Source organism: Homo sapiens, chromosome 7, assembly GCF_000001405.40.
Source record: "Homo sapiens chromosome 7, GRCh38.p14 Primary Assembly".
In the NCBI taxonomy this organism is placed as follows: domain Eukaryota; kingdom Metazoa; phylum Chordata; class Mammalia; order Primates; family Hominidae; genus Homo; species Homo sapiens.
In genome coordinates this window covers 25,589,701-25,602,812 of record NC_000007.14, presented here as the reverse complement: position 1 = coordinate 25,602,812, position 13,112 = coordinate 25,589,701, and the positions used below count along the sequence as shown (strand labels likewise).

Below are 13,112 nucleotides of genomic sequence, written 5' to 3'. Positions count from 1 at the left end.
AAACTGACACATTAAGTCTTCTGTCATTATTAAAAAATAATATTGTATTTAAAAAATAAAACCAAGTTTTTATTTGCATAGGAAATTTATTTCTTATAAAAGGTCTTTACTCCTCACCCATTTTCCACAAAAAGGAATTACTACGTTCTTTAGCTCTTTCTTTAGCTAGGATTTCTTTAATTAAGATTTTCCTCTCACATCGATTTTACTTGTTTCATTATTAAGAAAGTGTTCATTGCAGTGATGACTAATAGTTAAATAAATAGATACAGAGATGTAGATTCCTTCTGGAAAGCAAAGAATTGGGGAATCTTTTCCAGGAAATAGTTTTACTTTTTATTAACTTTATGGCATTTAAAAAATTAATAAAAGGATGATGTCTTTGTCCTCGGCTGACCATTAAGGGCTAAAAAGGTTTAGAAAAAAGGTTAGTGTTTATGACGTATGACTATACTACTTATTGATACTATTGACCATATAAATCATATCACTGTTTATGACGTATGACTATACTACTTATTGATACTATTGACCATATAAATCATATCACTGTTTATGACGTATGACTATACTACTTATTGATACTATTGACCATATAAATCATATCACTGTTTATGACATATGACTATACTACTTATTGATACTATTGACCATATAAATCATATCACTGTTTATGACGTATGACTATACTACTTATTGATACTATTGACCATATAAATCATATCACTGTTTATGACGTATGACTATACTACTTATTGATACTATTGACCATATAAATCATATCACTGTTTATGACGTATGACTATACTACTTATTGATACTATTGACCATATAAATCATATCACTGTTTATGACGTATGACTATACTACTTATTGATACTATTGACCATATAAATCATATCACTGTTTATGACGTATGACTATACTACTTATTGATACTATTGACCATATAAATCATATCACTGTTTATGACGTATGACTATACTACTTATTGATACTATTGACCATATAAATCATATCACTGTTTATGACGTATGACTATACTACTTATTGATACTATTGACCATATAAATCATATCACTGTTTATGACGTATGACTATACTACTTATTGATACTATTGACCATATAAATCATATCACATACTATTTATGACATATGGCTTCATATAAAGGAGAGTCTCTGTTGTTAACATGACCATTACTTATGTGAAAAAGAGCTAAGAAAGGGGTACATTCAGGAGGCATGGAGTACTTCAGCTATTTTTAATAGCTGAAGTAAATGGGGTTCAGGCAATTCATAAAATGCCTGAATTGGTAGGCAATGTTTTATATTTGTTTTTTGCTTGGAAGAGGAATCTTCATCAGAGTTGGAAAAGTATCCTTGCCCATCTCCCTTAGAAAAAGTTCAGAACTACTTAGCTAGCAGGATTGCTAAAGCTTGCTGCTTGTCTCCTTAACATATAGATGAAAATGAACATTTTAAAGAACATCTTACTGTTTTGTCCATAGGATGGCCAGTGCAATCCAAAGACTATACTTTCCATAAAGACTTTTGGCAGTGTAGATAAACTGAAGAAGGCACAGTGCTTTAGCATGCCATCTCTTCTCAAAATCTAAGGCCACCTTTCTTTTGAACACCATGCTGTCTTGCCTCCTGGCCCCCAGTCTTTTCACCCTTTTCCCTCTGAATTAGCTAAAGAAAATTCATGACACTTCTGGCTTCTAGAGGGATGGATAATTCCAACTCCATAGATAAAAATGCAGTAATGTGATCCATTTAAGAATGCAATCAATGTATGTTCATACAATGGGTCTGTGTTAGGAATATATTATTAAATGAATATTGTGCTATCGATAAGGGGTTTTATTAATTTACAAACTCAGAACTCCAGTATTTCTATCAGTAACATGAGTAAGAAAGTGATGAATCACTTACAATCAACCCTGATGGAGACAATGTTATCAAAGTCTATATTTGCCATGCATAAAATTTATTCATGCTTGACTTTAACTTCTGTTCTTAAAAGCTTTCCCTATATCCTAAAATAAAGGCATGGTTTTATTTGCAAGTGAACAGAAATTGTAGGAAATTGCAAAGCAACCTCTGAATAATGAACATCTTGCCAGGAAAATGTATCTGATCTCTGAGGAAAGGTGTTGGAAGAGATAGGAGACGGCAGGAGGATTGTCTCAAACACAAGTTTGAGTTCTTTTGACAACAATGTCTCCCTGTTTATGAAATATAGAGAATTCTGCTCAAGAAGCGAGGAAGTTTTGGAGACATAATCAGAAAGAGAGAAATGCAGACAAAGAAGTTGTAGAAACTAGCTCACTTCTCATCATGCTATTCTCAGAATTTTTCTCTTCATCTCGCACTAAAAACAACCCTGTGCAAAAGACAAACCTTTTCCAGATGTTTTGGTGAATTCACTTTTACTCTCCATGGACAATAATAACCAGTTTTTGTTTAAGGCTTTACAATTTAAAAAGCATGTACTTTTAATATTTATAATAATAACTTTTTTAATGTTTACAAGAATCCCTTAAAATTGCTCTTGTTTTTATTTACTATTATCATACTGACTTTTTCAAATAAGACAACTGAAATTCAGACTCTTTTTAATCATCCAAGTAGTAAGCAGTGGAAGAGGCACTTTAAAATACAAATTATTAAACTCCAAATTCTCTGCCTTTGTTCCTCCTTTTGGATGACAATAGGGTAAAATGAGACAAGCATGTTTTAATAAATAAATGTTTATTTGCTTTTTTTGAGTAAGAGCTTGGAGAAATCTAATATGTCATTTTGTGTATTCTTAAAAATCCCTTGCTTGAAGAATCTAATGACTTTTATGCCTATGGATTTATATATTATTTGCACCATTTTGAAATATTTAGGAAAGGAGAGAATATAATTATTTGCCATGAAAATAAACTAACACCATCAGGCCAGGAGTCGATGCCAACCAAAGCATCCTATTGTCCCATATGCTGTTGCTGGCATTGATGAAAGTTGAGGATTGGAAGAAGTGGAATCAGCCAGCCTCATGTAGATTTCAGCTGGAATCTGTGCTGTTCCTCCAGGGTGCACCAGGGGCCTTCCTCCTCCCCTCACTTTCTTTCATTCCCCACTCAGTAGCTTCAGAGGTTGACAAGAATTCAGCTCGGGCAGGCAAATGTTGGTTTATAACATGAACACTGACCATTTCTATCTTACAATTGAGAGAGGGGAAGCAAAGAGAAGTTGCCAGACATCTACAGTAAATCAAAAGAGGATGTTGGGATCTTTCCATGATGCCAAGTTCTTGCTACCAATGGCTTTTTCTCCTGAAGTAACTTTTAGCTAAATTTACAGATTTTCAGAGGAAAGAACCCCTGTAGCCATGTTTTCCCCCAAAGATCAGACTCCCTTTCCACCTCAGAATGGCTTCTCACAAATACAGTAGTTTTTCAACAACAGATGGGTCTAAGTTGAAAGAGACCTTGTCATTGGTCCAGTGGCATGAGGACTTCTTCAAATGCACATGTGGTTCTGATGGTCACGGAGGGACCACACGACGTTGATGAAATTCCTCTTTAATGGGCCAGCTCTTCATCAGCCCTGATGTTCAGGCGCCCTTGTTTAAGATGCAGGCCTCCAGCAAGACCAGCATGAGTGCCACAGAACTTTGTGGAGACTCGCTAATATAACAGGCCAGCATTTGGGAGAGGGTAGTGATTATGTGATTTCAATTTCATACCATCTGTCCCCAGATTTCTTTCACTACCAGGCTGGCCACTGGCTTTGGAGGACAGTCAAAATCCAGGGCTCTGGAATACTCTGTACGGAGTTCAAAGGAGCAGGCATCCCTGTGAACTCTAAGGCTGGTTGTTGCCATGGGGAAGTGGACCGAGATCGCTGGCTTCCAGCAAGATATGTACTTGAAAGTCCTAATGAAAGCGTGTTAAGCCCTCCAAAGCTGGCTATGTGTCTGAGAGCCTGGCCAAGAGATGTCAGATGGCTCCATGGGCAAGAGAGGACATAAGCAACTGAGGAAAAGGGAGGAAGAGACATGCTGACGTTCTTCTCAACAGGAACATTCTTTCTTCTTGGGTGTCCATCAGCCTCATCATTTATTATCAGACTGTAACCACCCTTCATCCTCTTTCTTCAGCAGGATTTCATCATTCCAATAAGAACCGAAATCATAAAGCAAAAACAAGAATAATATGGCTTTTGTTTTTGGCTAGAAGGTCAGAGTTTCTTCCTTTTTTTTTTTTTAAATGCTGGCCTATTTTATACAGGCTCTTGAATGATTATTTTCTTTTCTCCTAGGCAATCTGGATTAATTGATACAGTAAAAGGTCTGGAAGTCCTAAAATGTTAGGTCAATTCCTAACTCCGACACAAAGAAGCTAAACAACCTGCAAGAGAATATGTAAAAAAACCAACCACAATTTTCCTATCTGCAAAATAAAGGAGGGGTGCCACTGGGCAACATTTTAAAAACCTTGTGTTCCTTATGCTAATTATTCACCCTTTGGCATTCCAGATCATGCCTCTTGACATCAGTAGCTTGATTGCCAATGGGATGATGCTACTGGTTTCACTTTTAAATATGGGTTTCAAAAGTTTCAGTTTTCATAGTCTTCAGAGAAACAGAATATTGAATGTGGGAAAAAAAACCTCAGGCAGAAATCCAGATGTCAATCTCTCTCATTTCGCAACGAGGAAGCCGAGGCCCAGAGTGGTGAGTGACCTGCCCAAGGCCACAGTCAGAGTTAGAGCTGTGCCAGGCCCAGGACGCGGGGCTTTCCTTTTGATCAACATTACATTTCCTAAACCAGTTTGCCTTTTATATGCCTGCTTTCCATGATGATTTCTGGGGAAAGGATTTCTCATGACACGGATTTTTCATGGCTCTAGATGGGTGATTTGGGGCAACACAGAAGGGCGCCTTTTGATCTAGCTGCTTCCGCATCAAGTACAACACTCCTTCCTCGATGGCAGAATGGCTGGCCTCTCCTATCAGTCGCTGAAGTCTTAGAAGACATGAAAATAAACAAAGCCTGACAACTCCGTTCCCTGTGTTACGACCTGTTCACCTCCCCTGCCACTTCCAACTTGACTTCTCCCTGAGTAGCCCCCATGTTATTTAAGAAAGCAGGGCTTGCAGAAGTCCGGCAGTGCCGAGGCTGCCAGAAGGAACACTTGCGTGGTAGGCGCATGTGGGTCTGAGCTCTTTAAACTCTGGGTCACGACTGGCATAGAAGGGGCTCCTGCTGCTCTTCAAATCGCTCTTGGTCTTGAAACTTCCTTCCAATGGTTCCCTCCCTTATGTTTAACCACTTGATGCCCTGGAATTACCGAGGGTCTCACTCTGATAAATATTATTTTTTGAAGCCCTCAGGAGTCTACTTTATTCTGGAATGTTCCAATAGGCAGCTTTAACAAAAATATGGGTGACTTCTTGAAAAAAGAGTAAGCCCAACTTAAAGTTGACTGTGAATGACAATAGCAATCTGACCTCCAATTCATTAAAAAATACCCATATGTTCACAGAAGGTTGTTTCATAATAGCTGCAAAGTGGAAGTGACCCAGATGAATGTCTATCAGTGGATGCCTGGGTGAACAAAATATGGTATATCTACACAGTGGAATATTACTTACAATGAAAAAAGTATTGCTCCTTGCTACATGAACACATCTCAAAGTTATGCAAAGTAAAAAAGATCAGATCACATATTGTATGATTCCATGTATATAAAATGTCCAGAAAAGGCAAATCTATAGAGACAGAAAAATTAGTGACTGCCATGGGCCAGAGGTGGGAAGAGGGAATGACTACAAATGGGCATGAGGTTTATTTTGGGGGTGATGGAATTGCTCTAAAATTAGATTGCAGTGATGGTTTCACAACTCTGAATATTTATGAAAAAAATCATTGAGTTTTGACTTCAAAAGAGTGAGTTTTATGATACGTAAATAATACCTCCATAAAGCTGTGCAAATGAACAACCATGCAGCAGACGCACCAGCTCCTAGCAGGAAGGAGATCTTTGGAGTGGAGGGATGCCTGATGTGGCTGGGCCAACAGACGAATTCAGCCACACAGTTTCCCTCACCCTGACTGCTCCTCACGAAAGGCGACCTGTAAGTCCGGGCAGGAGCCCTTGACATGATGCAACGATTTATTAAATAGGCAGGCTGCCCTTACGAGGTGAAGTCTGACAAAGCCTCAGTTCAGGGACATCTGCATTCAAAGTGAAAAACCGATGGCAGCCGCAATGATTTAGATCTGCAATTAAGACATTTAAAGTGTTTAGGGCTGACAAGGAGTTAAAGTAAATGTTGATTCAGTTGTAAAGTCTTCAAAGATTTAGGCTTGCAAAAGGGCCTTGCACAACTGTAGGATTTTATTTATTTATGCATTGTTATTGACTTTAAAATATTGTTTTTTCTCCCCCCAGAGAACTTTTCCAACCAGCAGTGGGGCCCTTAGCAGGGGAGACTGGAAACAGGTTTGAATAATGCGTTCAAGATAATTTTCAAAAAATCACCATTTAACGAGTACCATATTCCCTCCAATTTTCCCTTACATGTGATTCACCATTTTGAAAATACTGATGTATAAAGAATGCATTGAATGTGGCAAAAGTTGAAGATAGCCCCTGTGGATAAGGCCTAATGGACACCATCCTGAAATAATACATACAGCTCAATCCCCAGACATGTGTCTTTAATTTAAAATAATTCAGCAATCATGTTCAACCAGAACCTGATTACACAAAATGGGACTTTTTAACTCCCAGTCTTGGATCAAATTTTGAGGCTACAAAAAAGCAGGGGGTGGCAAAGAGAATATGTGCCATGTTTATATATTCCAGATATGGTGATTAAATGATCCATACCACGGGCTGGGCACCGTGGCTCACGCCTGTAATCCCAGCACTTAGGGAGGCTGAAGCAGGTGGATCACCTGAGGTCAGAAGTTCGAGACCAGCCTGACCAACATGGAGAAATCCCATCTCTACTAAAAATACAAAATTAGCCGGGCATGGTGGTGCATGCCTGTAATCCCAGCTACTCAGGAGGCTGAGGCAGGAGAATTGCTTGAACCCAGGAGGTGGAGGTTGCGGTGAGTCAAGATTGTGCCATTGCACTCCAGCCTGGGCAACAAGAGCAAAACTCGGTCTCAAAAAAAAAAAAAAGAAAAGAAAAAAGAAAACAAAGATCCACACACAAATTTAACTGTTTCTTTGAACTTATCAAGGCACCTAGTGCCATTTTCTACCTGTAAATATTTACCTTCCTTTAAGAGAACTTGAGTGGAAGTCCTGACTGGGATGCAAAAGAAAAAAAAATGCTGAACATAAATTGAACCCTTGTCAGAATATTATGGCTTTCAAACCACTGAACTATAGTCTTATTCTCTACTTTCTCAGAGGCTCAGGAGGGAAGGAGGCTGAACAGAATTAGCTCTCTTGGGATAGCACAGGGGACGCAGTACAGGGCCCAGAAGATGGTATCTACTGTAGTTCTTGCAAGTGCTTGGCTTCCCTTTTATCTTTTATTTTGTTGCTGGCTGCTGCCTTCCCTTCTCAGCTATGAAGACGTGGGTCCCCTTCCATACAGGAAGTAGAGCCCCTGCCTGTATTGTGATTTCTGAGATGTGAGGAGGTCTCCAATCCTTCTTCTTGATAGGATCCCCAGTACTGGAAGTGCCACCATTATTAAGTACTTATTTCTTCAAATCCTCATGATCAGAAGTAGTGGATATAGTGTTTGGTGAATCCCAAGCAACAGTCTCTAGGGATAAGATTCCAGCTAAAACACAAAACACCCAGTTCAATTTGAGTTTCAAATAAACTACAAACATTGACTGCATCACTAGAAGAAGAATGATGAGTCAGTTAATTTTACTCAACAAATGTTATAAAGGCTCGCCCCCCAAGATGGGAGGCTCTAAAAATTAGGCACCATAAACGTGGATATACTAGAAATAAAGCTTTGTGTTGGTATGCTTTGTTTTAAAATAAATGGACATATTTAGAATGGATGGTTTTCTTTTCATGTTGATAATGTTTCTGCTTTTCCTTTTGTTCCTTTTGTTTACAGATCCTTTATATATTGAAAGAAGAAAGTAGAACCATTTCTGGGTCCCAGCTGTGGGAAGAGCTCCTGTGGCTGTGAATTCTGACTTCTGGGTCTTGGCACAAGGTGTGGCCAGCAAGCTAAGCTGTCCTGAGGGTGTGCAGGGCCAGGGGCTGAAGACAGTGTTGGAGCATCCACAGACTGGTTTGTCTCAAGAAGCATGTTACTAAATATGAAATAGCAAAATCTGCAAGTGGGTTTACTTTTCCCCCATAGATTAGAATGGATTCAATATTATCTCTTTATTAGCGTCACTTTTAATCACTTGTATAACAAGTAGGACAGAAAGGTGGCTTGAAAGTCAATCATGTGAGAATTCCAGATAAATTGACTTTGCTCACAACAATCTGTTATTCATGTGACTATCAACTGTCATGTGTGCTGGGGCAAAAAAAGAAGATAAGGATTCACTGGTATCAGATAGTTCCAGGAGGGGAAACCCAGGATTGAACTTTTTCAGCCTTCTATGGTAAAATTTCCTGCTCTGTCGGTGCGCCAAAGCTTTTTTCAGTTTCCTAAACTCCCATATTCAAGAAGATAAGCTATTTTCTCTTCTTTCTCATCCTTCCTTGACAAAGCAAAGCATATTTTCATTGTCTACTCTGTGTCATCCATGCTTGGTTCCTGTCCTCAAAGAGCTTATAGTTCAAATAAAGGAGAGGGAGCATTTTACAAGGGAATTAAAGGTAAAAGATTCTGAAAGCCAGTTTAAAAAGTCGTGAGGGAGGGGTCTGGGAGAAGCTGAGCAGGGGTGAAAGGGTACGAAACATTATGGAAGGAGAACAGGGGAGCACCCTGACTACTGGGTGGAAACACCAATCAGTGGGTAGAAACCACACAGTGGTAACACTGATCAGTGGGTAGAAAACAATGACAGCAGGTATATGAGGCATGGAACACTTGGCTTATTGTAAAGTTTTCAAAATATGCAGTCCTTTCTATCCACCAGGGGTTGGGAGTTGTCTTTGTATATCAACCGTGGAAGGGCTGTTTTGGTTCATCATTCTGTGGTCTACCTGGGTAGACCTGATGCAGCCGTGTTTCTGAGGAAAGGAAGAACAGCTTTTGTTTTGTGATATGTAATGGTAGATGTAGTGCCATGGAATGATGCAGATTTCATTCAGATATTCTTGGATCTTGGCCCCAGGACTCACTCATTCTTCCCTATATGAGCATTGGTAGTTACAGGTTTTATCCTTCCTTTAATTGTAAGTCTTTTGAAGCCAAAAACTGTATCCAATTTGTCACTGTCTCCTAACAGTACTTAGCAGTGTCTGATGCATCATAGGGAGTTTGTAAATGTTTGGATAAATAAAGGGAAAACAAAAACAACCACAAAAAAACCTTTATTTTGCTTTAATAAAAATATTTTAACTAGTTTCCACTGGCATATATATCCACATGGTAGATATATTCTAAGAAACAGTCTCTTCAAATGATGGCTTCAATAATGGATGAAAAATAAATTTCCTAATGAATTATTTTACAGAAAGCACCACACACACACCCCCAACATCAATAAAAAATTCATTTGTGATTTTAAGAACTATAGGATAATAATAGGTAATCCATGTGAAGTTATGACAGCTTGTAAGGCCAGGGAGGGCACGAGGAGATGAAACACACAGATCATCTTCAAACCACAGAAGCTCAGACTTCTCTTGCTCTGAAAGTTGACGATCAGTGAAAAGCCCACTGATAGCTGAGTTTTACCTCCTCTTCTTCTGTATAATCCCTTTTTTGGTGAAAGCAGAGATGTCATGGACAATGTAGGATTTCATCAAATCTGAGAGGCCATTGATTATAGGACGGCATTGTTTTAGGTATCACTAAGAAAGAAAAAAGCCTTGCCAAGTAAACTCCCCAAATTCAGAGACATTCAAATGTTGAAAAATAACTGTTTCAGAATCTATGAAATACAGACAATTCTCCCTAATGCTTGGCCCAGGGCTTTGCATACCATAGGTGGTCAATAAGCATTTGTTGACTGAGTGAATAATGTTGACAAGCAGAAATGCCTGGTTTATAATGCCTAGAGCCCATCACTGAGAACAGTGGGCTAGATCCCTTCTTGATGTTTTAAGTAATCGCTGAGAGAATGGGTGGGCGATTGCTCTTCTGATTGCTAAGAACAAAACAAAACACAAAACTGATAAAAAGCAGAGTTGCAGAACTGCATCCTGTTGATGTACTGCCAGAGGAGTCAGGCCTGGAGTACTGTTCACTAAGAAATAGTGACTTTTGCATCCTCGACGTCCCAGTCATACACGGGCTTTTCTCTGAATAATCAAAGAAGGGATTATTTTGTGTAAGAATGGACAAATGAGTGTGTGAGTTTGTGTACGGTAAGGAAGGCAGGTAGATAGAAATACATAAAAGAGTAAAAAATTTCTTAAAAAAGCTCACTGGGTTTAACACATGCATCATTCACACATCAGAAACCAATATACACTTGCGACTCTGTACCCACAGAACTCAGAACTGCAGCTTGCAACTCCATGTCTCCGCACAGTGATAAATATGGGCAATATTAATGTCATCTTCTAAGCCCCCAAAAATATAGCTGACTCTGTTCAACAGAGCTGGTCAGACTGCGGCAGATAAATCATATTCAGATCAGAACTCCATGTACACATAATCTTTGGGGCATTTGCAAAGTCTAGGGGCATGCAGTGACAGATCTGGATTATTGATATCACTCTGTAGCCTGTCCTCCTTGAGTTTTTTTTTCCTACCAGTAATAAGGATGGATTCTCTGACACTGACCTCCTTATAAATTGGCTTCTAGTTCATCTTTCCAGAGGTGCCACCAGAGAACCAAGAAGCAATTTCAATTAAGAGTACAATTAGGGAACATACCTTTTGAAATATTATTTTTTAGTTTTTACTCATTTTCAATAGTGGTTGTGCAAGACCCTCTTAAGACCATTTCAATTTTCAGGAGGTTACTGCAAGAGTCTCACTGGGCTTATCTGACTGTGTTAAACAAGGGCAGAGCTTAAGAGTTTGATCACTGCTAGGCTCTTTAACAGGAGGATCTGTACCGGATCCCTGTGGGTATTTCTGTGGGACCTGGCACAGGTTTTTGAACCTAGTATCTGCTCAACTGAAATGTATTAAGTAAATGAATAATGAATAAATGATGCTAAGAAGCACAAGCCTCTTGGTACCACTGTAGCAATTAAAGACTTTTAGAGTATATAAATTTTTCTTCCTAAAATGCATTCTGAGGAGAGTAGATAGGTATTAATGCAAGAAAACGAACACGAGTCCAAAAAAATTGTTGAGCATTAGTGGATTCAGCAAGGATTTTTAATCTCTTTTTCTTAGATTCCCCTGAAAGAATTTTGAAACTATGGACCCTGTCACACTTTTAAGTTAGCATCTAAATTTTTTAAATCACAAGTTGTAACAGTTACAAAGGACGCAATTTCTGGCATGTTTGACAGTTATGAAGGACGCAATTTCTGGCACATTTCTACTGTTATATCACTCTTTTATTTATTTTTTTTATTTTTTGAGATGAAGTCTTGTTCTGTCACCCGGGCTGGAGTGCAGTGGTGCAATCTCGACTCACTGCAACTTCCGCCTCCTGGATTCAAGCAATTCTCCCACCTCAGCCTCCTGAGTAGCTGGGATTACAGGCATGCACCACCACACCCAGCTAATTTTTTTGTATTTTTAGTAGAGCTGGGGTTTCGCCATATTGTCCAGGCTGTTCTCGAACTCCTGGCCTTAAGTGAGCTGCCCGCCCAAAGTGCTGGGATTACAGGCTTGAGCCATCACGCCTGGTCTATATTACTCTTTTAAATGTATCCACAGAACCTAAGTATCATAACAATTTGATGCCTATCTCACTATTTTAAAAAAAATATAGAAACAAGCTCTTGAAATTTTACATTTCTTTATCTCTATAAATGCATTCTTTATATTCTACTTTCTCCATATGGTTTTATCTTAATGAAATGTATTGTCATACTTAAAAGACTTTTCTTGAACATTTTACTTCTCTGCAACGAAAATATGTATCAAATTTGAAATTAATAGTTTTATTCATTGTGCCCTTAATCTTTTGTATTAAAAATTCTACCACTGATATTTAACAAACAACAATATAAACTTTAATAAAATTATTAAGCATGAAAAGTAAAAGTACTGGATATTTATCTCTTAATGAGGTGGAAGAGGCTGTTTGTTAAAATCGGAATTCAAACAAGGTTCACACATGGCAATTTGTTGGTATGTCTCTTAAATCTCTTAGCCTTTCTTAGTCTTTAAATATCTCCCCTACAGCTTCCTTCTCAATTTATTAAAAATATCAGGGCCTTTTTCCCTGTATTTCCCAGTAAATTATTAGTTAAAGCTAGAAGCATGATCAGACTCAGGTTCACCTTTCTGGTGAAATATTTTAGGCAATAATGCTACCTTTGCATACCTTTCTTAACCTTTCAAATTTAAGTCTGTATCTGCCTTTCAATCCAGTCTCCACACTCCCTTGCCCAAAAATCTCTGGCACTGGAAAAGTGAGGCAACACAGTTAAGGCCAAGGCTATCAAGCACTCAGATTATTCCAGATTGAAAGTTTGGTCATCCCATCAGGTAAGAGCCTACCTGGCTGAGTTGCTGGCAGTGGGTAGAGACAACATAGGAAGGGTGGGGAGAAGGCAGCTGTGATGACCAAGTTGGGCTTCCTGACCAGTTACAGAAGTGGGAACTGAAGTAGGGTCCTCAACTCTACTTCTCTTTGTGTATTTCCCCAAGTCTGAGAAAAGTACAGATGCAGAGAGGACCTTCAGTAGGATCAGAAGTAGTGGCCATTGCCATCCTAGGTCTCAGAGAAGGGCAATACTGTTTGGGGGTGTGGAGGAAGGCATATAAAACATACCTAGGGTGGCCATGGGCTTGTCTACTTCAGTCTCCTCTGCAGCTGGAGTTACAGGCATGACTGTTGTCCTAAATGCACACATCTCCCGAAACGAG

General features: G+C 38.9%; 1 long non-coding RNA gene across 7 annotated transcripts in view, besides 1 other annotated feature; it reads left to right on the top strand.

The window, feature by feature from the left end:
- Positions 1-9,512, top strand: part of LINC03007 (long intergenic non-protein coding RNA 3007) — a 196,819-nt gene extending 187,307 nt beyond the window's left edge. For 4 of the 7 annotated variants that reach the window (NR_157808.1, NR_157809.1, NR_157815.1 and 1 more), the window contains exons 4-5: positions 6,449-6,499; positions 8,097-9,512. This is a non-coding gene — a long non-coding RNA (long intergenic non-protein coding RNA 3007). The remainder of the gene's footprint in view (positions 1-6,448; positions 6,500-8,096) is intronic. The other 3 variants (NR_157810.1, NR_157814.1, NR_157818.1) reach the window with 1 other exon arrangement.
- Positions 218-418: a silencer, noted in NCBI's record as "peak6444 fragment used in MPRA reporter construct". NCBI's record gives its function as "represses an SCP1 promoter by STARR-seq MPRAs in K562 erythroleukemia cells {active_cell/tissue: K562}" and the evidence as "EXISTENCE:reporter gene assay evidence [ECO:0000049][PMID:32103011]".
- Positions 9,513-13,112: the final 3,600 nt, after the last annotated feature.